General features: G+C 43.9%; 1 protein-coding gene across 3 annotated transcripts in view, besides 1 other annotated feature; it reads left to right on the plus strand.

Moving 5' to 3' along the window:
* Positions 1-27,796, plus strand: part of ST6GALNAC5 (ST6 N-acetylgalactosaminide alpha-2,6-sialyltransferase 5) — a 200,067-nt gene that overhangs the window by 136,306 nt on the left and 35,965 nt on the right. The window lies entirely within an intron of this gene.
* Positions 20,344-20,844: an enhancer, noted in NCBI's record as "NANOG-H3K4me1 hESC enhancer chr1:77489814-77490314 (GRCh37/hg19 assembly coordinates)". NCBI's record gives its function as "activates a minimal SCP1, AML or CMV promoter by ChIP-STARR-seq in primed H9 embryonic stem cells {active_cell/tissue: H9 hESC(primed)}" and the evidence as "EXISTENCE:reporter gene assay evidence [ECO:0000049][PMID:30033119]".

A 27,796-nucleotide genomic window follows, 5' to 3' on the forward strand; every position in this document is an offset into this window, starting at 1 on the left:
AAATTCTTTTCTTTAAGAATGTTGAATATTGGCCCCCACTCTCTTCTGGCTTGTAGGGTTTCTGCCGAGAGATCTGCTGTTAGTCTGATGGGCTTCCCTTTGAGGGTAACCCGACCTTTCTCTCTGGCTGCCCTTAACATTTTTTCCTTCATTTCAACTTTGGTGAATCTGACAATTATGTGTCTTGGAGTTGCTCTTCTCGAGGAGTATCTTTGTGGTGTTCTCTGTATTTCCTGAATCTGAACGTTGGCCTGCCTTGCTAGATTGGGGAAGTTCTCCTGGATAATATCCTGCAGAGTGTTTTCCAACTTGGTTCCATTCTCCCCATCACTTTCAAGTACACCAATCAGACGTAGATTTGGTCTTTTCACATAGTCCCATATTTCTTGGAGGCTTTTCTCATTTCTTTTTATTCTTTTTTCTCTAAACTTCCCTTCTCACTTCATTTCATTCATTTCATCTTCCATCGCTGATACCCTTTCTTCCAGTTGATCGCATCAGCTCCTGAGGCTTCTGCATTCTTCACGTAGTTCTCGAGCCTTGGTTTTCAGCTCCATCAGCTCCTTTAAGCACTTCTCTGTATTGGTTATTCTAGTTATACATTCTTCTAAATTTTTTCAAAGTTTTCAACTTCTTTGCCTTTGGTTTGAATGTCCTCCCGTAGCTCAGAGTAATTTGATCGTCTGAAGCCTTCTTCTCTCAGCTCGTCAAAGTCATTCTCCATCCAGCTTTGTTCCATTGCTGGTGAGGAACTGCGTTCCTTTGGAGGAGGAGAGGCGCTCTGTGTTTTAGAGTTTCCAGTTTTTCTGTTCTGTTTTTTCCCCATCTTTGTGGTTTTATCTACTTTTGGTCTTTGATGATGGTGATGTACAGATGGGTTTTTGGTGTGGATGTCCTTTCTGTTTGTTAGTTTTCCTTCTAACAGACAGGACCCTCAGCTGCAGGTCTGTTGGAATACCCTGCCGTGTGAGGTGTCAGTGTGCCCCTGCTGGAGGGGTGCCTCCCAGTTAGGCTGCTCGGGGGTCAGGGGTCAGGGACCCACTTGAGGAGGCAGTCTGCCCGTTCTCAGATCTCCAGCTGCGTGCTGGGAGAACCACTGCTCTCTTCAAAGCTGTCAGACAGGGACATTTAAGTCTGCAGAGGTTACTGCTGTCTTTTTGTTTGTCTGTGCCCTGCCCCCAGAGGTGGAGCCTACAGACGCAGGCAGGCCTCCTGGAGCTGTGGTGGGCTCCACCCAGTTCGAGCTTCCTGGCTGCTTTGTTTACCTAATCAAGCCTGGGCAATGGCGGGCGCCCCTCCCCCAGCCTCGCTGCCACCTTGCAGTTTGATCTCAGACTGCTGTGCTAGCAATCAGCGAGACTCCGTGGGGTAGTACCCTCCAAGCCAGGTGCGGGATATAATCTGGTGGTGCGCCATTTTTTAAGCTGGTCCGAAAAGCGCAATATTCAGGTGGGAGTGACCCGATTTTCCAGGTGCGTCTGTCACCCCTTTCTTTGACTCAGAAAGGGAACTCCCTGACCCTTGCGCTTCCCAAGTGAGGCAATGCCTCGCCCTGCTTCGGCTCGCGCACGGTGCGCACACCCACTGACCTGCACCCACTGTCTGGCACTCCCTAGTGAGATGAACCCGGTACCTCAGATGGAAATGCAGAAATCACCCGTCTTCTGCGTCGCTCACGCTGGGAGCTGTAGACCGGAGCTGTTCCTATTCAGCCATCTTGGCTCCTCCTCTCAGGTTTGGGTTTTTTATGATGGTAAAATATACATATTATAAAATGTATCACTTTAATTGTTTTTAAGTGTACAATTCAGTGGCATTAAGTACACTCACATTGTTGTGCAACCAATACCACTATCCACATGCAGAACTTTATTCTCATCCCAAATTGAAACTCCACACTCATTAAACAGTAGCTGTCCATTTCCCTCTTCTCTCAGCCCTTGGTAACCACTATTCTAGTTTCTGTCTCTGTGAGTTTAACTATTCTGGGTACCTCATATACATGAAATCATACAGCGTTTGTCCTTTTCGATCTGGATTGTTTCATTGAGCATGTTTTCAAGGTTCAGCAATGTTGTAGTTTGAATCAGAATTTCATTCCCTTTCAAGGCTAAATATGTTCTACTCCATGTTATACACATTTTGTTTATCCATTCCTCCATTGATGGGCATTTGGGTTGTTTCCAACATTTGGCTTTTGAGAAGAAAGATGCTATTGACATTGGTATACAAAATTTCTTTGAGCCCATGCTTTCAGTTTTTTCTATATATCTCTAGAAGTGAATTGCTGGATGATATGGTAACTCTATGTTTAATTTATTGAGGAATTATCATTCTATAGAAATGTGTAGTTTTTTTTGTTGTTGTTGTTGTTTTATTTGTTTGTTGAGACAGGGTCTTCTTCTGTTGCCCAGGCTAGGCTTCAGTGGCATGATCACAGCTCACTGCAGCCTTGACCTCCTAGGCCCAAGCAATACTACCACTTTAGCCTCCCAAGTAGCTGGGACTACAGGTGCATGCCACTACACCCGGCTAATTTTTTTTTTTTTTTTTTTTTTTTGAGACAGAGTCTCACTCTGTCACCCAGGTGTGATCTCGGCTCACTGCAACCTCTGCTGCCCAGGTTCAAGTGATTCTCCTGCCTCCGCCTCCTGAGTAGCTGAGATTACAGGCGCCAGCCACCACGCCTGGCTAATTTTTGTAGTTTTTTATTTTTTAGTAGAGACAGGGTTTCACCATATTGCCCAGGCTGGTCTCAAACTCCTGAGCTCAAGCAGTTTGCCCACCTCAACCTCCAAAGTGCTGGAATTACAGGCATGGACCACCATGCCAGGCCAGAATGTATAGTTCTTAATCAGCATTCCAGGTGATGTTATGATCAGATAATTTGAGAAACATTTATTTGTCAGTTACCTATTGCTATGCAACCAACCACTCCAAACAATTAGTAGCTTACAACAACAACCATTTATTTAGCTCACAATTATACTGGGTGGCTCTTCTGGCCTGGGCTGGGTTTGTCTGGTCTCTGTTGGCCTAGCTCATGTTTCTGTGGTCATTTGGCTGGTCTTTTGGGTGCTGGCTGTTCTCAGATGGCCTCAGTCATATATCCAGTGGTTGCTTGGCTATAGGCTGAAGCAATGGCGTGACTAGGCCTAGAACCTTTCCTTGTTTAGTAAGCTAACCCCAGCTTGCTCCCAGGGTGGCAGGGTCCCAAGAACAGCAAGAGAGCAAGCTCCAGTGCATAAGCTCTTTTCAAGTCTTTGCCTATATTATGTTTGCTTGTCCTGTTGGGCAGAGCAAGTCACCTGGCCAAGCCCAGTGTCAGTATAGAGGGCACTACCAAATGGTGTGGACACAGCGAGGCAGAAAAAGAGCTGAGACCATTACTATTATTATTCCACCACAACTTAACTGCTTGATTCAGTATTCTGACGTGAACTCAGGGTTATCTGAAAACTTTCTCCTGCCGTAATAAATCTGTGAATGGAGCATAATCATGTCTGAAGTTGCATAGAGCCCTCTGAACCACATGCCCCAGCACCTCTGCAACGCTCTCCATTTGAGGGTTCATTCATTAATTTAATAAATACTTATTGTGAATCTACTCATGTCTGGAACTCTTCTAGGACCTGGGTATACAGCTATTGACAAAATAGTCCAAGTTCCTCTTCTCCAGGGACTTACATTCTACTGCAGGTGGAAAAGTTTTAGGAGTGAGAATAAATGTTTGGATCCCTAGCACATATTCAGGAGGTTTTGTGGTTGTCATTGTTTAAAGAGGAAGAAGTTTGAAGAATGTTCTTTATTCCCTATTCTTCACCACTATGTGCTTTTACTAATATTTGAGTAGAGAAAAATATTTTGGTTAATTAGAATTTCCAGGTATTTAAATGCCAGAAGGCAGATGCAAACCTGTGGGAGGATATTAGGATTGACTTTTAACTTGTAATCCTTATAGCTTGGTGCAGAAGTAACCGTGGCTTGCCGTAAGGGCAAAAGCCACAATTACTTTTGCACCAACCTAATACAAGACTGATGGATTCGCTTCTCACTTCCTTTATGCTTTCTGCAAGGCTTTGTGGCTAAGACTTTTGGCCCCATAGCTACCTGAGGGAGGGCTACTGATCTTTACAGCTCAAAGGGCACTGAAGAGTCACATCCAGCTGAGCAGTGATGGATGGCTACAACAGACATTTTCTTTGGATACTTCTTTATTTTATTATTATTATTATGTGTGTTTAATCCTATGGGAGTAGACCAGCATTCTATATTTTTAAAGTAGCACTAGTTTGTTGGAAAATTTGACTTTTATAAACTGAAAGTGTATGTCATCAGTACCTGGAGATGAGATGGGTTTAATGTCCAGCTGGTGCTCAGAGGGGCTGGGACTCTCTGCATGGGTTAGTTTGCCAGCTAAAACTCACTTCATGCACAAGAGCTTTCATTGAACAACAGTCAAGCTTTGCTTCAGGGTAAGCAGGTATTTCAGTGGGGGAGAATTAGGAGACAGCATGTAGTAGTATTCAAATTAGGATCTTTAGAGTCAGACAGATGTGTCCGTTACTAGCTTGGACCTTGGGCAAATGACTTAACCTCTCTGAGTCTCAGTTTCTTTATCTATAAAATGGGATAATAACACTATCTGCCCCATAAAACTGGCAGCACTAACAGAAAGCATGCAAAGCTTGTAGCATAGTGCCTGCAGTGGACACTTGATTAAAAATGTTAGCTAAAGGCTGTTATCTTTTTTTTATTTTTTTAGATGGAGTCTCACTCTGCCTCCTAGGCTGGAGTGCAGTGGCTCAATCTCGGCTCACTGCAGCCTCTGCCTCCTGGGTTCAAGCAATTCTCCTGCCCCAGCCTCCGGAGTAGCTGGGATTACAGGTGCCCGCCACCACACCCGGTTAATTTTTGTATTTTGAGTAGAGACTGGGTTTCACCATGTTGGTCAGGCTGGTCTTGAACTCCTGACCTCAGATGATCCACCCGCCTCAGCCTACCAAAGTGCTGGGATTACAGGCGTGAGCCACCATCCCTGGCCTAAAGGCTGTTATCTTAATAAATGCTGTTCTGATCTACAGTTACATCACCACAAACTGATGCCTTTGGCCTGGCCCACAGTGCCAGAATCTGAACTACAGGGGAGTTACTCTTTGAACCACCCTAGCACCAATCCTAGCTGAGAAAAAGACATTTATGAAACTGATTTGCCATTTGTGTGTAGCCAGTCAGGAATTCCTACTTGGGCTCTTGGCCACTATTTGAGCAACTTTTCTGTAACACTGAACCATAGAAGCAGCCCATCCACCACCACCACAACAATAAAAACTAGCACTTCACACACTAGCACCTTACCTGGAATGATTTTAGAGGTGTTAGAGAGCCCCAGAATATCTCCTGTGTAACTTTCCACCAGACTTTATGGACGAGCCAACTACCAAGCTGTAAATTGATTGAATCTTGTATTTTCCTCTTTGGACTTAGCTGGGCCCAGTGAGAGTTTGGTTGAGAGTAGATTTTGGTGGATGGGAACAGGAGTTTCATGAGGTAAGAGGAGAAGAGAGAGAGAATTTTTGTTCATGGGTATAGGAGCCATGTAAGTTGTATAATTTCACTATAAACATGGCACGCAGGGAGAGGGTGAATTGTGCCCAGGTAGGCAGGGGAAATTGCAAGGCTTTGGTGTTGGGGAGAGCACAGAGATAAAGAAATTACGGGTAGGAGAGGGATCCAAAGGGGAAATGAAGGAGAGTGAAAGGCAAACTTTTCAGCTGAGTTACATGAGCGACATCAACTATAACACAAGGTGGAAAAATCCCATCTTCCTGTCCTCCCCCATGTGACAAGAAGCTGATCTGCCTTCTTGGATTTATTTCCTTCTGGGGCTGTATTTCTCTCCTTGCGCTTTGTCTCACCTCCTACCTTGTTATAGGCGATCTTTCTCCCCCTGAGGAAATCATAATTCTATCACTGTGGAAATTGAAGTGTCTTCAGCTTTCTTACCAGTCTTAGAGTATTTTCTTAGGCCAAATTGCCAATTTCCTCTTTTATGGAAAATACTAAAATACTTTTTTTTAATAGAGTGACCTTGATCCTTTCCCATTTGCTATTCTTTCCAATTTCTAGACTGGAGCTAGAAAAATTGAATGAAGTTGTCAGCCTAGTGGCAATAACCACATTAAAATGTTTCTCTGAAAGTCTTTGGAGCAGAGTCCTTGGGCATTTTTACCAGTGACCATCCATGAAGTGACAGCACTATAGACACAGGGTTTTGTGTCCAGAGAACTTTCCACCAGCCCTTCTGGTATGATTTACTGTGTCTGTCTTATCCAGGCCCTAACACAGGGCTTGGAGCACAATCAGTGATCAATAAGTGTTAACTCAGTGATAGGGCAGATGGTCATTGATTTAAAAATAACAACCTTGGGCCGGGCAGTGGTTCACACCTGTAATCCCAGCACATTGGGAGGCCGAGGCGGGCAGATTACCTGAGGTAAGGTGGTCGAGACCAGCCTGACCAACATGGTGAAACCCCATCTCTACTAAAAATACAAAAATTAGCCAGGTGTGATGGCACACACTTGTAATCTCACCTACTCAGGGGGCTGAGGCAGGAGAATTGCTTGAGCCTGGGAGACAGAGGTTGCAGTGAACCAAGATCGTGCCACTGCACTCCAGCCTGGGCGACAGAGCAAGACTCTGTCTCAAAAAAATAAAAATAAAAATAAAAATAACCTTGCCTCGTACTGTTGGGGTACACACTTCCAAGCAGTGACCCTTGGCAGCTCTGGGAAGCTCTGAGACGTGTTCTTCCTTGGAGTAGTCCCTCTCAGCCTGCGACACTGTCCATCTAAATCTGTGGCACAGGTTCTCCAACTCTAGGAGGCCAGGAGGCGCTATGTCTGACAATCGTTTGACCCTGTGGCTCCAGGACACCCCAACACTCTGGACTAAACACACTGCACCACTCCTCTCCTTAAAGATCTTAAGGATTGTGCTCTAATTAGTTTGGAAATGGAATTTCTTAGACTATTTCTAAAAGCAGCTGCAGCCTGGGGACAAATTGACTAAATTCACCAGTTCTCCTGAAAATGATATTTGAAAGGAAAGTTGAGCTGCTTCTATCTTCCCAGAGAAATCTACATGTCATTCAGATGTTGGAGACCCTCAAGAGGCAGAAATGTCTTCATCCCCTGCCGTTTGGGTACTGACTAAAACCGTTGATCCTTTTCCTTGAAGTCTGAGGTTCTGCTGTTGGCCTCTGAAAAGCAGGGGACAGAATATTCTGGCAGACTCTGGCAAGTAGATGACCCCTTGCTGGGAGTAAGCTTCAGCCTTTTCCAAGGTCTGCCACAACAGAAGCAGTAACATGAGAGCGGCACTCAGTAGGACAATGACGATGAGGCTAATGAGAGCTTTTGGCCGTGAGAAACACTGCCTCCCCAAGCAGCATTCAGATATGTAGAAACGGTCTTGTTTTACGTGCCTTGGTGCCTCGGGCCTGTACAAAGTCACCAACACATTCAAACTGGAGTGGAGAATTGGGGATTTAAAAATGTGATTGCTGAAGGCAGCACCATCTTAACCCCTGGAGTCATCGAGTGCTCATTTGCTGCTAGGGGACAGAAAAGCCATTAGAGATATTCCCTGGGTATGTAGCCCAGTTATTTTTGTTTTTTAACATATATCCCAAGTGATTCAAGAGCATGACAAGGTTTGGGAATTACAGTCCTTGAGCACAATCTCCCATTGGTACTTTACAAGGTTATACTTTAGACTAATTGAACTTGTTTTATTTTTATTTTATCTGTAATGATATTTGATATTCATTTTGTATATAAAATAATTTTGTTTTTATATTTTGTATATGTAGTATGTAGTACAACATAATTATTTTGTTAGTAATATTTTTATTTTATAATATAGTGATAATGATAATACAGTAACTGCATATAAGTACTTATATACAAGATATTGTTCTATTGTAATACAATATAATCATTTTGATAGTAACATTTTTATTTTGTAATATAGTGATAATGATAATAATATAGTAACTGTATGTAAGTACTACTTATTATATACAAGATATTGTTCTGAATGCTTTTACATACATTATCGCAATTAATCTTCACAATGACTTTTTGAAGGAGGTGGTATTAGTAACATCATTTTACAGATGAGAAAAGACAGGCACAAAGAAGCTAAATGATTTGCCCAAGGTTCCATAGCGGTCAAGTGGTGGAGCTTGAATTTATACCCAGACCTGGCGATTCTTAGGTCTGAGACTTTTAACTACCACACTGTGCTGATCCAAGTGGCCTGAAGCTTTACAAAATTTGATTAGAGAGAGTTGCATCACTAGGAAACAGAGAGATATAAGAAGTCTGTGGGAAGGGAAAGAAAGATGCCTTCTCTGCAGAAATAATGTTTAAGAGTTTTTTAAGCCTTAAGTAAATTAGACCATCTGTTTGTGGCCAGGAACATACTCAGTGGAATAATGTCCCAGCCAATAGAAAAATAGACTTTGCAGAACCCCAGCAGTCAGTTGCTGACATGAGTATGGAATCCACAGGAATTCCAGGTTACTCCTTGCTCCGGAAATAAGGAAAAGCACTAATATGAAGTAGATCTTGGCTTCACCCAACCTGGGAGTGGGAGGAAGTCTGCCTCTGAACGCCAGAAAAAACCTAGGGATAGTAGGGGACACGAAATGCAAGCAGATTCCTCAAATCTCCACTTGAAAGCTAGAAAGCTTCACTATGTATTCTGCACTGACAGGGAAAGACAGGTCCTAATTGGATCGACTGATCCTTCTCTTGGTGGGAGAGGCCTTGGCCTTTGTGAACCAAGGAAGAGATTTTTATGACAAACTTTTCTAGATGCTTTTTAGCTGAAGTTAAAGAAGATTATGGGTGAATTAGAAAAGGGATTTATAATAGAACTTTGGATTAATTTATTCATTCATAAACATTTATTGGGTGCTTTGGCTGAATTAGGCAGTACTCTAGGGGATACAGGAATGAAGAAAAAAATGGTTCGTTCCCAAGAATCTTACAACTGAGTGGTGGAGACAGACAGCAAAACCAGCAACAGCTTAATGTGGTGTTTCCATAGACATGTTTGAGAATTCCTATGGTCTATCAGGCAAGGGCACTTTAAACTTCTTAAGGGTTGGGAAAGTCAAGTGCAAAAAAGCCCCCAAAGAAGGAGGCTTTGCATTATGTCACAAAGTAGTTGCAGTTACCCAGGCTGATATGCAAAGACCTCCCTGGCAGAAGGAGCAGTGTGTGCACAAGAGGACAGAAGGCAAGGGCACCCCACAGTCCTGCGGGTGCACGGTGAGCAACCAGAACTAGCCAGCTGGTCCCCCAACTCATGTCCTCTTTTGGTGGAATCTCCACACCCAGCTCTACAACCTCAAGAATCCCAAGCCAGGGTCTAGGTCTCAATATGAAGTCAGACTCTGTTTCTGAAGCCTACTCTGTGATTCTATGCACAATTTCATGCTAATATTCACCTGGACAATGGAAGGCATGAAAAGCCATTCAGCCTCGTTTGTGAAGTTAGAATTGTCAAGGAAAGGGGCTGATACTTCTCAAGTAATCAGGCATGGGGCTAAAGGCTTTCTGAGTTTTGGCCAGGAGGTTGTTGTTTGATTTTACGTATCGTCTTTATTATGAGCTTTCTCACCCAACTGTTGCTGTCTGTCTTAATCACTGAAAACCATCCTCTCCTAACCTGCAGTCATGTTACGATTTGTTTTCTCCTAGTCTCATATTTTCTCTGGATGCATTTCATCCCCAGTGTGAGGAGAAGCCATCCCTAAATCCTAACGCTACATTGTGTATTTCTAAGCACTTGCCTCAAGGCCCCACTCCCAGCAGCTATTGATCCCTGAGAGACTATTATATTTATTTGCATTGACACGGGGGCTCACCACCTTAAGTGAAAGGATAAACAATTAATGTCCCAGCTCCTGGAAGTCGGATGGCCTTTCTGGGATGCCATTAAGACTTGTCTTGGAGAGGGCTGTTTAAAGTAGCTGCTCAGACTGAACTTTAACTAATTATTCAATCAACGATTTGGCAGGTCAGTCAATGGGAAATGATGCACAGTTTGCTGAAATTGATCACACTTCATTTCCCATCAATTGTAAAGCCAAATTGTGGGTAAAGTCATAAGTAAAGGATCATTGCCTGCCATTCTTAGGACCATGTTTCCCTATCCCTTCCATTTACTTAAACCCCAGCCTCATCCATAAAAGCAAGAGAATTTTGCACTTACAGAGGGAATCAGTATAAAATGTTTACCACCTTCTGAGATGGAAGGGGAAGGGAGAGTGTTTTCTATTTCATAATTGATATGTTGCAGCCACATAATCCTCTAACCTTTTCCTCTAACCTTTTCGGCAGCTCAGATGTGGAGGCTGGATTTTAAATCCCATGATCCATTATGCATCACTTACTTCCACATCTATTACCATTCCGTCAGCCAAGTGACAGGATTCCCCATCAGGGCCTTTGACTGTGTGGGGCTCTTCAACTTTATGCTGGCGGATAGGCATGTGGAACTTCATACATGGGTGATTTACAGACAATTAGCAGGAGGCAATGGCAGATTAAGTGTAGCTCTTCTGAAAAATTATGAATAAAGGATGTAAAAAGGAAGGTCCCCCCACCCAGGCCCTGCCCAGGAAAAGGCTTAGAATGATCCAAGCAGTGAATTTTATGACAGTAACTACCACCCTCTCAGAAGATGCAAAATGGAATGTGTGCTTGTCCACATTGATTGGCAGCTTCTGAAACCAATCACCGGCCCAGGTCAGTAGAGCCCCACTGGTAGGCCAACAGATCATGAAGAAAGCAGAGACACAGACTCGGATTTCCACATAAGCTTCCTCACCTGCTTTGTTCTCCCAAGCCAACTGGCCTTTTTTCTTGCACACTGGGACCTGATAAAAGCCTCTGGTACTTGAGATGAACCACTAGACAATAATCAGAATGGAATTTTCTGGGAAATGTGGCCATATGAAAAAAATGATCACTTTTTCCTCACAAGGATTTGCAAAGTGGAAAGAGTAGGATTTTAAAAACTGTATTTTGTAGCAGAGAAAACTAAGGTTTAGAAATTTGAATGACTTCCTTAACAAATATTTATTGAGAACTTGCCATGTGCTAAGCACAATATTAAGCACTGAGCTTACTCGGTATTAGTCGGAATTCTCCAGAGAAACAGAAACAATAGGACACTCGCACACAAACACACACACACACACACACACACACACACACACACATGGAGCTTTATTATGAGAAGTTGGCTTATGCAATTACGGAGGCCAAGACATCCCATGATCAGCAGATTGCAAGCTGGGGACTCAGGAAAGCCAGTAGGGTAAATCAGTCCAACCTGAGACCCAGGGGAGCTGATGATATAAATCCCAGTCCAAAAGCAGGAGGAGATGAGATGAGATGTCCTAATTTAAGCACTGAGGCAGAAAAACAGGTTGTTAATCCTTTCCTTAACCTTTTGTCCTGTTCAGGCCCTCAATGGATCTGATAATGCCAACCACACTGGGTAGGACCAGCTACTTTACTGAGTCCACCAACTCAAATGCTAGTCTCATCCAGAAACACCCTCAAGACACACCAGAAGTAATGCTTACTCTGTGAACCCTGTAGCTCAGTCCTCACAGGGCTCACAGTCCACCCATAAATATGTACATATATTATGTATCAATAAAAATTGTTCTAATTGTTTTAATTAAAATGAAGAGCTAGTAGTCTAGTGGAGGAGACAGACCTGAATGCAGGCAAAAATGATACAAGGTGGACAGAGCTGAAGCGGTTGAAGTGGAAGTGCTTTGGGGGTTCAGAGGAGGGGCACCTGCCTCAATTTTGGGGTGGCAGAGGGTCCAGCAAGGTCTGTGCTGAGGAAATGACATAAGGCATCAAGAACAAGCAGGAGTGAACCAGGTGGAGAAGGCTTTTCAGGCAGAGGGAACAGCATATACAAAGCCCCAGAGGCAAGACAGGGCTTCACAGGCAAAAGGTTAGAGGCCAAAATACAAGGAGGAAAAGGGGAGAGAGGTGGGCTGGAGAGACCCAGGGGCCTGTTCGGGGAGGCGTGTGTGAGCTTGTAAGTAGCTTTCTCCTCAGAGCCAGGCCTCTGATCCCAGCATCCTGAAAGGCAGGGGGCTCAGTTTCAGCTCTAGCCAAATTCACCCTCCTCCACCTCCTCCTCCTCTTCCCCTCAAATCTCCTTCATCTACCCCCACATCCCCTCCTTCTCCACTCCTCCCCCTCATGCTCCTGTATCTCCTCCCTCTCCTCCTCCTGTATCTCCTCCCTCCCCTCCTGTATCTTCCCCTCCTCCTCCTCCTGTCCTCCCCCTCCTCCTCCTGTATCTCCTCCCCCTCCTCCTCCTGTATCTCCTCCCCCTCCTCCTCCTGTATCTCCTCCCCCTCCTCCTCCTGTATCTCCTCCCCCTCATCCTCCTGTATCTCCTCCCCCTCCTCCTCCTGAAACTCTTCCTCCTCTTTCTCCACTCCTCCTCATTCTTGCTAGACGGAAAAAATAGTTATTTATTTTTTATTGATACATAATAATTACACATATTTATGGAGTATGTGTGCTATTTTGAAATTTTCCTTTCGGTCACTGTCAAGCACTTCTGGAGGTAATGCCTTTTCTACAAAGTGCACAATGGTCATTGCACACTCAAACATCCCCCAACCCCCTGCCCCCTGAAAGAAGGCCATATGGGCTAAGTGATCTGATCAAAGTCACTTGGTGCTAATTAGAGATGGAGCTGGGATTTAAGGCCAGGCTCTCTGTCCCAGCTGCTTTCATTGTGTAAACTGAACGCTGACTTGGCCTCTTTGTATGTCACTCAAAAAACTCACTGGGATGCACACCCTTTTAAATGACATCTTTTTCTTTTTAGAATTGTTTCATGTTGGAGAAAATAACATGGTTCTCAAGCCTTTCAACAGTCCTACATCCACAAAAGGGGAAAGGGACACTGCACTGAAATTAGAATCTTCAACAACTTCTTCAATCTTCCCTTTTTAATTGGGTGAAAGTAATGTACTCCTAATTATTTGAGAAATGATGTGATAAGCCCCATTATTAAGACCTCTTTTTTCTGAGTGACATGAGCAATTTAAAAGGAAGGGAAATTAACAATGGCATGAATGGTGCATTATGTGCTCCAAGTTCGGGTACAATCATTGAACCAAAAGAGAGGGGGCAGGGGAATGAGACTGGGCTTTCTCGTAATATTTCTGAGTTGGTGAGCATGAAGGGAGAAAAAAGCCAGTCCAAGCTTGTGTTTCAGACTCTGTAATCAGGAAAAGGCAAAAAAAAAAAAAAAAAAGGTAAAGACACAGTATCTTTCCCTTCCTTCTCAAGCAGTAAACACTGGGGGACACTTCTAGTGAGTGCATCTGACATCAATTTCTATTCTTCAGCATCGGAATGTCAATGAAGTAGAACAGGGGATGTTTCCACAAGATATTAAGATGACAGACAGTCTTACTCTCTGTTCACTGGAGAGTAGAATTGGTAGCTCTCCAACTGGTATGATTTTAGGGGGTGCAAATACAAATGCCTAGGGGAACCAGGAAGGAGCTCTCCATGGGCAAGGCTGGCATGGGTGAGGGTCAAGGGCACGGGAGCATGGCCTCTCTGCACGTCAGGGCTGCTGCTCCGCTCTGCATGACTGTCATCACAAGCAAGAGGGACCCAGGGATCCAGGTCCTCTGAGTTTTCAAGGGAGGCCAAAGGATTCTAGGTTTTATCTTTATGTGTTTAAATGACAAAGCTCCTCATTTTGAAATGTTGCAGTGCTGTTGACACGTTACTAATAAGGTTTGTGTCCTTATGTTGTAGAAGGAAAAGTAATGGTTTGCTGAATATTATTAAAAGTTCTTACGTAGGATTTTGTAAGTCTCAATAGTATGAGAAAGAATGAATGTGAGATAGGGATTTGGTATTAAATATTAAATACAAGTCTTCAGAATATGGAGGTCATATTACAGAGATAATATGTAAAGAGACATAATATAGTACAATGGAAAGAACACTACACGTGGGATGAGAATTACTCAGGATGTCCACAGACAAGGGCTTCATTAGCCCTGCCTCAGTTTCTTCATCTGGAGAGCCAAAGATTCAATTCACAGTCCATCTAGGCTCTCTTCTAACCTTAACCTTGGTGACAGCCCTAGACCCACACTGAAATCCATCAGAGATCCTTCATTGGCGCTGAGCAGTTTATGTTTCATTCTGAATGATGGAGTTCTCTTCCATTAGGCAACTTCAGGCAAGAAGAAGAAGACTGTATCAGGGGTTCACAAAATAAAGAAAAAAGAAAGCAGGAAGGAGAGTTCTAGAAAGAGCCACCCTTTAGAAAAATTCTGGTGCACCTTCATCTTCTCACCATCACGATACCCCCATTTTTGCTTCTAAGTCTTTATAGATCATAAGTCAACTTCCTACCAACAGTTAAGAATCTTAACAACAGTTAGAAACTCAGAATCCTAGCAGCACAGGCATCTTCTGAGTACTCACCATGCACGAGGCACTGTGCCAGGTACAAACATTCATATTCCTCACAACAACCCCAAGTGATAGGTTTCTAGAGAACTGTTACTGTACACATCTTGCAGATAGGAGAACTGGGGCTGAGAAATGGAAAAGCCATTTGTGCAAATCCACACAGCCAGGAGGAGGCAGATCACCCAGCACTGACTCCACAGCCATTGATCCTAATCACTCCCAAGAGGCTGAAACATGTGCTACACCAGTTGGGCTCTGGGAATCTGGCCTCAGTTTAAATCCTGCGTCTGCCACACAGTGAATGTCCTTGAAAAAGTAATTTAACCTCTTTAAAGCCTCAGTTTTCCGACCTGTCATTGAGAAGAATGAAGTAACTGCCACAAGTTTTGAGGATTAGTGAGCTCTACATAAGGGATGTCAGGTACATTATAAGCGTTCAATAAATGGTGGTGATTATTGTTATTAGTCCACTATCATTCTTAAATATCTTGTTTCTTACTGAACTGCTAGGAGTTGCAAAACCATCCTGTTAAGCAGGAAAAGCAAGGAAGCCACTTAACAGATGCAAATGGCATTTCACAAGGGAGTCAGAGACAGGGGCTGAGAAGGGACTCAGATGGCTTCAGCCCAGCTCCTAGCTGACTGAACAGATCACTTCCTTGAAGCCTCTAGAGGAAGCAGTGAAATGATATCAATTCCCCTGAGCTTTGGAAGGGAAAAAGATTCTATCTTGCTTAAACTGTTCTACTGTAGAGAAATCATATGCTTTAGATGCCAGGGCAGGGGGGAGATACCCCTGGATCTTCCCAAAGGTCATTTGTTGCAGGCAGAGGGATTAAATACTTACCACTGCTTGCTGGTATGGAACACTGAAAACACATCTTCTCTCTAGATAGAATATATGAAACAAAAAGGAGGCTCCCTTCTGCCAGCTGAGGGAAATTGCAGGGCAGTGCACTTTGTCATCACTGTGGAAGTGCCTGGTAGAACAGGTGACATTGGGCAAGAGAAAGCCCTTCAGTGCCAGATTTGTTTTCATCACTGTGTTCTGTTCTCATCATATTGTGGTGTGAGACTCGCAAAATCTCATGCATTCTCACCACGGGAGCCTGCATCTTCATTGCTGAAGGGAAGTGGAGAGCTCAAAGCAGTTCATGCAGGCAATTCCTCCAAAAAGTTCCCCAAACTATCTGGAGCATCATCTCATTCTCCACTTCAAGTTAATTCCAAAGGCTGGCCTGGAGGAACTTCTGCACAGAATTTATAATTAGCCCAGCTTTGTGGAATAGTCAGGCCTGAGTCCTTTGTTCATGCTGATATGAGTAGCAGAAGGGTTTCTGCAAGTTCTTGCCCAGTTGCAATTGAAGTGTTTAGGCGGTTAGCTCTTTCTGCTAGAAAACTCACCTTGGGTGTGCCTGCCACTCTGGCACATGTCTTCAAAAATGTGCTTTGTCACATTTAAATACTGATGTTTTGTTCCTAGTTATGGAAATGTAGGAGTGTCTGTCTGATGGTTCATTTCTAACCCCCAAATTCCTATCTTATACTTTAAACTGCCCTGAAAATCAAAAGCCCTTGGAATCAAACTCCAGATACACAGCCACATTGCCAACACACTACTTTAGCAAAAGATCCAGAACATATTTTACATGAAAACCTGTCAGACTGGTTTTTTATTATAAAAATAATGTAAAGAATTGAGCCAAGCACCCATGTTATTCTGATGACAAAGAAAACTAATTGTGCTAATAACACTAAGCAAAGTCTTCAGCAATCATTCTGAGCTGTAAATTGGGCATGCTTTTTTAACTGTGGAGCCTCTTTATGAGGTATATGAAGATAACAAGCATGCTTTTGAGGGGATTCTTGTGTAATTGACATTTTTTAAGTGCCGAGAATGTGGTTCTAAGACACATTTGAGACTGGGGTCTTGCACTCGTTAGGCAGTCCAAAGTATTTTTAGCTTCCTTCTCATTGGAGAGCTAGCATTTGGGGCGTAGGGAGAATGAAGCTTATGCCATGCTTTTGTTTCCTTTGTTGTTTGTTTGTTTGTTGGGGAGTGTGGGGATACAGGATCTCACTTTGTCACCCAGGCTGGAGTACAGTGGCACAGTCTCAGCTCACTGCAACCTGCACCTCCCAAGCTCAAGCGATCATCCCACCTCAGCTCCCCAAGTAGCTGGGACCATAGGTGTGCACCACCACACTCCTCTAATTTTTGTATTTCTTTTAGAGATGAGGTCTTGCCATGTTGCCCAGGCTGGTCTTGAGCTCCTGGACTCAAGAAATCTGCCCACCTCAGCCTCCCAAAGTGCTGGGATTACAGGCCTGAGCCACTGTGCCCGGCCTTATGCCATGCCTCTTACTGAATGCACCTAGTAACAAACTACCCCACACTTGGTAATTGTTCATTATTATTATCTCTCAGAATTCTGAAATTTGCAGTTAGATGGAGGCTGAGGCTGGAATCATTAAAGGCTCCGTTACACCTCTGGGGGCTGATGCTGGCTGGTGGCTTGCACCTCAGCAGGAGCTATAGGCAGGAACACCTACAGATGTCCTCTTGTTGTTACCCGGGGTTCCGCACAGCATGGCTGCTGGTTTGCAGCATCAAGTATCCCAAGACAGAGAGCCAGGCAGAAGCCACATCACCAATTCTAATCTAGCCACAGAAGCCACACAGTGACACTTTCCACTGCATTCTGTTCTTCGCAGGTGAGACACTAAGGTGAGCCCATATTTAGGGCAAGTGAAACTAGATTCTACCTCTTGATGGGGAAGTGTCAAAGAATTTGAGGAGATGAAAAACTTCAAATCAGTCTTTTTTAAAAAAGTAGTCAAACCAGTCTCTTTTTAAAAAAGTATTCAAACCTTTCTTCCATCCCCTGCTTGTAAACTCACATCCTGAGGAATAATGACTTGAATAATTCTACCAGAATCCAAGAAACCAAATTGGTTGGGGGCAGGGGGTATGTTGCTTTTATTGTTTCCAAGATGAAGTTCTCTGTGAAACTAGAATGTGGTTCCTCTTATAGAACCCTCTGGAATTAGCAAATGATTCCCAAATAGTACAGGTAAGACTCCTGAGTATTAATGACTTCATTATATTTTGTTGCCGCCATACTTCAAGTCAGGATGCTTGATGACTTGATGTGATATGTGTGTGTCTCCTCCCATCCACCTTAAGATAAGCAATAGGCAATATCCAATTGTGTGAGAACCTGCATTGTTCACATGAGCCTTTGTCCTGGATAACAGCTCCTGTTCATCAATATGATACATTGCACTCTGACTTTCTACTTCTGTCTTTCTTTGTGGATATTCCTTTCTCCTCTCTGATTGCTTTTTCTTCTTAGACCATTACTCTAGTTGATAGTGCTAGGTTATCATTGGATCCCATCTCCCTCTCCAATAAGCCTGTGATTGATACTAATCTTCCTCATGGGACACATTTTATAGGATGCACATTGGAAAACCACTCTCTAAATCTTAGCTTTCTATGTGCTGACAATTTACAAGGTTGCACCTCACACACATCTCAGGAGGCTTAAGGGGAAATTTGAGAGCCATGTAATCACACCTCCTAATAAGAACAGAAATGCCTTTCATACACAGATGCTGTCATGCCATTCAGCAGTCTGTGCTGCGCCCCCCGTTTGTCTTTTTTCCCCCAGCCAACAAAATGCACATCTAGGGAAGTGCTATCTGGGAAGTGGCCAGTTCCTAGAAGCCCAGCATGAATCATTTCTCTCTTCTGCAGGAGAGTAGTGTTTTAATTATTCTAATGAAAGCTTTCACTTGCCATTGAATCCATAAAAGCAGAAAATTAAGGAGGTTGCGAACACCTCTCTGAAGCAGAAACCTTGCTTTATAATATACCTGCACCTTTCCTAGCAAAACTGAGACCCCAAGAAATTTATAGACACAGGATATTACCCTTCCAGTTTAACACATGCTTTGGCATTGAAATTTTACCTTTCCAGACCCAAGAAAGTATTTTGTGAAAAGTTTTAATTTCTCATTTGAAGTTTGTACCCCTAAAATATGCCAGCCAAGAAAGCCAATATAATGCAGTATTTGCTTACAACAATATTAGATTCAGTGTGTCCTTTAAATGAAGGCTTGTGTCCAGAAAATAGAGGGAATCATGGGACTCAAAACTTTAAAGCAACCTAGGCTAGATTAATGATTTGATTATTAGTTTATAGGAAACTCAAAGGAGGATGCTGTGGTCTCTTATACCTCAGTAAGGTCACACTATGGACCAGTAAAGTTTAAGCATTAAGAAACTGGGTTTGTTTTGCATTTTAACTTAAAAATTCAGACCCAGTTATATCCATTGTGAAAAAGTAAATATTTAAAAACTTGGGTTTTCTGGAATTGCGAGATTTCATTCCCAATTTTGTTCTCACCTCTGAAAATGGGATACTTTTTTGTATTGGCCCTTTTAGGAGAAGTGACATCTCAGACCCCTCCTGTCTTTCTTCCTCTACCATCTGTGTTCTTTATGGATATATATTTCTTGGCAAATTTGGTGTCATGGGCCACATTGTGTCTCCCCAAATTTGTACGTGGAAGTCCTAATTCCCATTACTTCAGACTGTGACTGTATTTGAAGATGCAGGACGTACTTAAGGAGGTAATTAAGTTGAAATGAGACCTTTAGAGAGGCCCTAATTCAATATGACTGGTGTTCTTATGAGAAGAGGTTGGGACACTGAAAACACAGGCCAAGGGACCATGTGAGGACACAGTGAGAAGGCAGGCCCCTGCAAGCCAAGGGAAGAGGACTCAGAAGAAACCCAATCTGCCAACACCTTGATCTTGGACTTCAGCCTCTGGAACTGTTGCGGGGAGGGATTCTGTTATTTAAGCCACGCAACCAGTGGTATTTTGTTATGGCAGCCTAGCAAACTAATACATTGGGGATTTCTCCTGCATATAATAGAAACTCATTTTTCCATATAACAAACTAAAACCCCCTTGCACATCCCTAGGTACAGCTCTGTGCATGGTGACAGTGGCATAAAGCTGTAATACTCTCCATGACTTAGTTTCAGGGCCACCGGCACCAGGCAGAGACTGGAACCCGGTAAGCACCATTGAAGCTCTTCCAGCATGGGTTCCCACTGAGAGGCAGGCAGAGCAACTGGAGGTTTGTGCTGACAAAGCGGCATGGAGCTATAATGTCCAGAGCCACTCAGAACTGCAGGATGGCACAAGTCAAGAAGGAACTGTGTCAGAGCAGAGGTGAAATCTCGGACAGCTCAGAAATCTTGGCACTGAAGGAGGCAGGAGCCTTCACAGTTAGATTGAGAGTGGGCAGTTTTTTCTCTATCTGTTGCACTTTATTATATTGTTTTTTAAAATTATTATCATATCCAGCACCACAGGGAAGGGTGAGGCTGAGCACAGGGGCCTGGTAGAACTGGGTCATTGTAGCGCCAACTAGAAGAGTGTGAGCTACAAAGCAGGAAGAACAGTTTCTCAAAGGGGCCGGATGGGGGTAGTCATTGGGGTGCCATGAGCAGGTGTCCTGTGCTGATGCTGGCAGATTAAGCCCGCATGGGTTTGCTTCACATTTTAACTTCAAAATTCAGCCTCAGTTATATCTACTGGAGAATATACACATGAATAAAAGGGTCACTGTTAAGGAGACAGATCTGAGAGAGCCCAGATAACAAGCTGCAACCAGGCCCCAGGCAGCAGAGGAAAGGGCTGCTTGGTCAGTGTGGGCCTGGAAGCTTGGGAGCTTCCCAGAAGCCAGGACCACAGCTTTATTCCAACACCCTGCAGCTGACCCAATGTGCTCCCCACAGAGAATGTTCTCGTAAGACCTTGTACTTTTCTTTCATAGCATTGGCTGCAGTTGTAATTTTGCATTTGTGCAATTCTTTGGTTAATATTGGTCTTCCCCACCAAACCGCATGTTGGTGAGGGCAGCTGGGGCTGTTTTACTCTCCACTGTATTCCCTGTACCTAAGGTGGTCCTTGGAAAGAGCTGACTCTCAGGATATTTCTTGAATGAATGAATGAATTGATTCATGTTAATATCACCTCCCCTTCTCCAAGTACTCAGAATCTTGCTACTGGTACAGGAACTTATAAGATGCGTGGAAGGCCAAGGACAGGAGACAGCATCTCCCAGGGGCTCACTGAAAAGCCTGTGCCCTTTTCCAGCCTCCGGGCCTCATATTGCAGGTGCCTCCAGGCGGGCTGGGGAGCATCTCACCTCTGCCTAGCACTGTGTGCTCTGGATGGCCAGGGAAGGTCTCCAGGGCGGGATCTGATTCTAGGGATTTCGCAAGGGACTTTGATATGTGAGACCCAGAAGCTCCCTGCAGAGAACAAAGGGGCAGTGTGGACTGCCTGTGGAGCCTGAGCCAAGATATGATCTGGGCCTAAGAAGGCACCATGGCATGGCTATTCAGTAGTCCACAGTCCTGCTCTGGAGCAAACCAAGACCTAACCAGCCACAGAGCACCAGAATCCCCAGCTGGTCAGTTCAGGGATTTAGAGAAGCTTCCTTTCTCCCAACTCCATCTGCTGTGACCCACCTTCCTTAGTCAGCCCCTCACCAGACAGGTCCTCTTTCTTGCCTCTGCCCTTTCTACCTTCTTCTGTATCCTTCCCCCGCTCCAGGCTCTCTCTCTGTCTGTGGATTCTCTTTGTCCTGGGTATAGGCATAAACATAATAGGCATTAAGAGGTACTGGAAAGCCTGATCGATTCTGAAGTCTTGCACTCCCCAGCCATCCTATTAAAAATTTTAAAATACCTAATATTCCACCACCATTATCCCTTTTGGCTTTAGAATTTACATTCTTACGCGTGGACACAATTTACTTTGTGAGAATCAACTGTGTCTATGAACCTGAAATAGTCTGTTAAAAATGGATCATGGAGCCCGTGTGCTCACGCTTGTAATTCCAGAACTTTGGGAGACCAAGGTGGGTGGATCACCTGAGGTCAAGAGTTTGAGACCAGCCAGGCTAACATGGTGAAATCCCCTCTTTACTAAAAACACAAAAATTAGCCAGGTGTGGTGGCAGATGCCTGTAATTCCAGATACTCTGGAGAATCACTTGAACCCAGAAGGTGGAGGTTGCAGTGAGCCGAGATCACACCATTGAACTCCAGACTGGGCGACAGAGCAAGACTGTCTTGAAAAAAAAAAAAATGGATCATAGAGTAGATCAATTTTGATCAGAAAATGTCACTAATAAAGGTCTGGAACATGGGGTGCATCTGTAGCCACATGGGATCCTTGGGTGGCCCGGAGGCTGTGGTGGGGTGACCAGTTGGGGGTAACATGGTAAGGATGCTTGGAAGAAGAAAGTGAGAGAAGGGGGTCAATGGAAAGACATAGGTCAGTGGGCTCACAGCCTCGTCCACTGTGCCGGGTCATCCAGTCCCACTCAGGCTCCCTCCCTCCTGCTGCCCCTCCTCCAGGCAGTCTTCTCCCCTGCAGCTACAGGGCCCCAGCTGCCAGGCCCCAGAGACCCACCCACCCTCCACGGGTGGGAAACATGAACACAGGCAGGTCAGCTCAGTCTTCTATCACAAAGCTCACATACATAGGGAGGCCCAGCCTCGTCCAAGGCTGATTTCAGGAAAGAAGATTATTCTCCAAGATTTTCTCTTAGGAGGCAGCACCACAAAATGGAAGAGGAACTGACTGTAAGTTCTAACCTGAATTCTAGTCTTGGCTTTGGCAGTAACTCACTGGGTGACCTTGGGCAAGTTCCTTCGCCTCCCAGGGCTTCTCTTTCTTCCATGGCACTTATGTGGTTTATTTTAAAGGTCATGCATGCTATCTTTGACCTGTCTGCTGCCATTTTCTTTGGAAAAAAGAGCCCTGGGAGATATGATTAAGGAGAGAGTCCTGGCCTGTTAGCCAGGGGAGCCCTCCTGCCCAGACCCTGTAAGCACTCTGGATAACCCTCTGCTCCTCTTATGTTAATTTCCTCCTCTTTCTCACCTATCCTGCTGTCTCCATATAAGGGCACAGCACGGCCAATTGCATTTAAAATTGCCTTCTAAAAGGCACACACATGCATCCTGGCTGGTCAGTCTTTGTGTGGAGCTGGGACTGATTCATCTCAGGGGCGTAATTCCAGCTTTGGCACTGGCTTGTGGAGGTGTCATTGAGAGGGGTTCAGAGGGCTAAGCTTACCAACCCCCCAGAAGAGGGGACACATAGCCTTGGCTCCATGTGCCAAGCAGCAGCATAATATGCAGGGCTCTGCAAAGTCAGCAGAGAAAGGACAGCAGGTGTCAACCACTGCACATGTTTTACTTATTTATTGATTTACAGTCCATCTTCCCAGTTTGTATATAGCCTCCTTCATAGTAGAGATTCAGCCTCATTAGCTGTCTCTGGCATCCTTAGCTTGCAGAATGGTGCCTGGAAGATAGTGGACCACTAAAGAACACTTTCTGAATGAATGAATGAATGAATGAATGAATGAATGAATGAATGAATGAAAATGTGTTAGGTACAAGTGTTGTGCTGTGGAACACACTCCTGGATTCTGGCTCCTGCCCCACAGGCTTGTCCCCAAACTGATGAAGAGCAAGGCAGGCACTGCGCACAGTGGTTTGGGTCATCAGCAGTCCAAGAATGTTTTCCCCAGTGTAGGTGCTCCCCCAGGTTGATGGGAGTCTGGGAGAGGTGGTGCTGACAAGAGAGTTTCTTCACCTCCACTCCAAAGACAGAAAGCAACGAAAGTTAATGACAGAAGCAAGCAGCAGGTGCCAGTGCCAGCTCCACTGCTCAGTGCTTCTGGATCCTTTCACGGTTCTGTAATGTACTCAGTCCCCAAAGGTATATCTCCTGCCTTCTAATCACTTACAACAAAAACACATGTTGCCCTTTACACCAAAGATAAATTGAAAGGTGTTCAGGTTCTCTTCTACTTGGGCTTATGACCAAGTCTCAGAGCACCTACATTAGGGGGCAGGGGTGAAGTATACTTTCCCATTGGCCTCTTCCAATTGCTGGAAGTGCGAGCTTAAGAGGGGTGACCATTTATTGAGCGTTTACTGTGTGTGTTGAAAACTGTGCCAAGCTCTGTAAATAAGACAACATCCCAAGGCAAGGCGACTGCAATCTCCTGAGAAATGCTGGCAAACAAACCACCATTATAACCGAGTTGGAGTAATTCAGGGCAGAGATGGTGGAGGGCTGGACTGAGGAGCACAATGGGAACTGGGAGACGCAGAGTTGAGAGAAATTGAGGGTTATAAGACTTAATGATTGATTTGTTGAGGAGAAGGAAAGGGAGGGTTTAATGTGACTCCCGGGTTTCTGGCATGGGAAGCCAGGTGGGATTACAACCTTCACTGCATGGAAGACAGAGTGGCAGATCTGGGGAGACTGAAGTTGAGTTCAGCTTTAGACGTGTTTGGTGGTGATGTTCTGATGTGCCGTCCAAGTGGAAAATCTCATTAGGAATTGGAATTATTTAATACCAGATATCATTTAATGAGTGGGGGAGTTTTATTGTTTCAGTATTTTTACACTTCAATAGTGCTTTAGAGAGACATGTCCTCTTGTGTTTGACAAAACACTGATTTGCAGTTCTGGTATCCCTCCTGAGTAAGTCTTATTTTTGAGATAAACATCACATCAGCCCCGAGTGCAACTAAAAATGAGCTGGGCCAGGGCAGTGGGGACTGCAGTCTGTCAAGGCTCTGTATTTAACAATGCCTTTCTCCAGTGGCCTCTGCCCTGTGCCTCCCACACTGTCAGCTCTAAAGGATATTTAGTCCTTGCAGCCTCAAATTCTTTAACCCTTCTTTGGCCTCTTAAGACAAGCCCTGGGTATCACTGAAACCTAAGGCATGTCCAGAAACAAGCACAAAAGAAGAATGTGACCACTGCTGCTTAACCTGGCCAGAGAAATTCACTAAGTCTTGCACCTGAAAAACCGAAACAAAACTTCCTAGCAAATCAGGTTCCCACAATCAAAGGATGGAAAATCTCACTGGAGGTTGGAAAAATGATCAGAGCCTCTTCAAAACTTCAGGACATCAAAAGACCTCACTGTACTCTTATTAGAAATCAAGCTGGAAGGAAACATCATAGTCCTTCAAGTGACACATGAACGAATGGAAAGCCGAAACCCACTTTCTGCAGCTTCAGAAATTCATATTTTTATTCATTCAACCAACATTTATTGAGTGTCTTTTATATTTAAAACACTTTGTGGGACAGTGTGGGACACAAAGAAAAAGAAAGTTATTCTGTCTCCCAATGAAGTGACACACAAATGGCTGAGTTTGGTGAAGAAATAACTGCAGTGAGTAGTGGGGTTTGCTGATAGCAGTGGAGGAGGTGGAAGCTCCTCTACAGATTAGCTTATTGAACCCTCACAGCTTTATGAGCTCGGGTCTAGCATTACCATTATTTTATAGGTGAGGGAACTAAGACACAGGGAAGTTGAGAAATTTTCCCAAAGTCAACAGTTGGTAAGTGATGGGATTTGAACCCAAGCAATCATTATTAAAGACAACTCTGCTGAATAAGTAGCTTTTACATAGGACCTGGAATGTTGGGTTGGCTGTCAAAAACTGCAGCTGGGACAGCTGGGAGTGCATTTCAGATGAAGGCTATTCTAACAGGAAAGGCAAGGACAGGTTACATTTGGATACGTGGGTGGTGGTCCAGTGTGGGCATGTGTAGAGTTCTTGAAATGGATCAGTGGAAAATAAGCTATAAAGGGTCACTTTTAGAAATATAGACTTCCCTCTTTAGGGATGAGGGGGTTACAGAAGATCATTACGTTGGAGTGACATGATCAGAACTGTATTTTAGAAAGAACACATGACTCCTGCACTCTAGCCACTTAGTACAATAAGTGGAAAAAAGAGAAAGTTTCCTGGCTTCTGAAACAACGAGTATAGTTACATTGCCTGCTGTCACAAAGGGATCCCCAAAGATGTGTAATAGCTCAAAAATGACAGCTTTTGTCTTGTTCACATGGTCAAAAAAGTGGGAGGTTCTACTATGTCTCATCCAAACCATGGTTTAGGGACTTGGTCTCCTTCTGTTCTTTGGCTCTGTCACGTTCAATGTGTGGCTTCCAATGTTACTATGCCATGTGTATCAAGGTGTCAGAAAGGGAAAGAGAGTGGAGAAGACAGTTGCTTCTGAAGTTTTCCAATGACCTCTGCTCCTGTTCCATTAGGAGGCACAGGGCTCTCCCTAGAGGCATGGGGACTAGAAACGAAGTCCCTGACTGGGCAGCCACTTCCATCTGTGACTCCATACTGTGGAAGGAAAGCATGAATTTTGGTGGAAAGTTAGTCATCACCATCATACCTGAGTGAGGAAAGAAAAACACATTTACCCTTCAGCAGTAACTTTTCAAAGTAGTCTGACACCTCATTTTGAAGCCTGGTTGAGAAATGAGTTTTACGAGCAAATGAGGCTTAAAACAACATAAGCACAGTCCCATTTAGCACCAAATCTTATTTGTCTAAATTATTGTTGAAGGTTCCAAATTGATTTTATACTTTCCTACCTAAGTGAACAAAACTTAATTTAAGCTTTTCTTGATGACTTAGGATCACCATTATGAATGTCATTTATGGGAATGCAGTGTGTTGTATACCAGCAGCTTTTGAGTGGTGTGGAAATGTTAGTTCCTGGGCTGAATGCCTCCTGAATTCTAGGCTGTTCCATTAAGTCTCTTCATTAACCTCTTGGGTCCCTTAGAATTTTTACAGTCACTGTGTATTCTCAATACCTCCCATTTCTATGTTTCTCTGCTTTCTGATTTCTCCTGCCATTTTTATTATTTACTAACCCATTCATGTAGGTTTTCTTTTTTCTTCTTTAAGACTCCCCAATCCTCTTTTCTTTCCAGTCCTTTCACTGATTTTGTTTTGCATATTATGGTGGAAAGAGCAGGCACACATGTGGGAGTGGCTTTGGCCTCAGCACTGACACTAGCTGTGCTGCAGAAACTATGACCTTGAGCAATTTAACCCCTGAGCCCCTGTTTCCTCAATATAAACTAAGGTGGTAATATGGATCTCACAGGCTTACATTGGGGTTAACTGAGATGCTAGTAATAGTATAAAAATTCATCTGTAAAAATTGATCGTCATTATGACTGTTATTTTGGCAGTTGGACCTGGTTTTTATTGTCGTCGTCAATAGAAATAGAAAGAGTCCATAGGACTCCAGGGAGTTGGAATCCAGACATGAACAGAGGAATAGCTAGAATACTCGAGACATCTCTATGGAGTGGACAGCTGAAGCCATGAGTCAGGCTCCTGAAAGTCTCCAAGAGGTTATAGATCTACTAATGTGCTTAAGCAGAATCTCAAGAAAGGTCTAATATAAATGGATGAAGCCATAAGAGGAATATCAAGAAAAGAAGACTGGATAAAAATATTCCCTGTTTCTAAGAAAAGAAGAAGTTTTCTAAACCTTGAAACTCTTTTAAGCTATCAATCCTATCTGCCACCATTCACTCCCAGCCTTCTTGAAGGAGCAGGGGGCCTCCATCTCTTCTTGCCAGGAATCTGCTTCTTGTATTTTACAATTCCTTGCCAAATCTGGGCAGAGTCAGCGGAGTGAAGGCAGTTGTGTCTGGGCAGTCTGCCTAAGAGTTTCCATTACATAAACAGTAGGTGCTTAATAACTTGCATTGTGCACATAAAAGGGAAAAAGAAGAAAATGTGATTTTTCACTGCTACAGAGTAAACCATTCTGTGGCCCCAGAGGATGCATCATGTTTAGCAAGATTAAAGCAGGTGGCAAAGTCCCTCCCCAGTGGGTACATCACAGCTAATGTCCATCAATGATTAGCAAATGAGTAGACGGTGCCTTTGTCAATAATCCTGTTTCTACCCTCATGCTTTATTTATTTAGCTAATGGCTGCCTAGCTGGTAGCTCATCAAGATGGTGTTTACTGAGCTTGGCAAAGTGAAAAATTATGATTTTGTTTACTCATGTGTTTCCAGCTGGGGTGCTGAGTTGTTATCCAGGCAGCTGATGACCGTTCTTCCACTCTCAGAGCCCCTAACACAGGCAGTTCAGTAAACAAACCATCAGCTTGAGAACCAGAGCATCAACACTGCCACAATCTGGTTATTTGCTACTTTGCAGTCGTCAGTGTCCAGAACCTCAAATGATGACTCATTCTGGAACCTCCCTTATACTTAGATAATAAAACAAATAGAAGTCAGGTTAAGTGTAATTGGTTTAGTTTGAG

This window comes from Homo sapiens, chromosome 1 (assembly GCF_000001405.40).
Source record: "Homo sapiens chromosome 1, GRCh38.p14 Primary Assembly".
Lineage (NCBI taxonomy): Eukaryota > Metazoa > Chordata > Mammalia > Primates > Hominidae > Homo > Homo sapiens.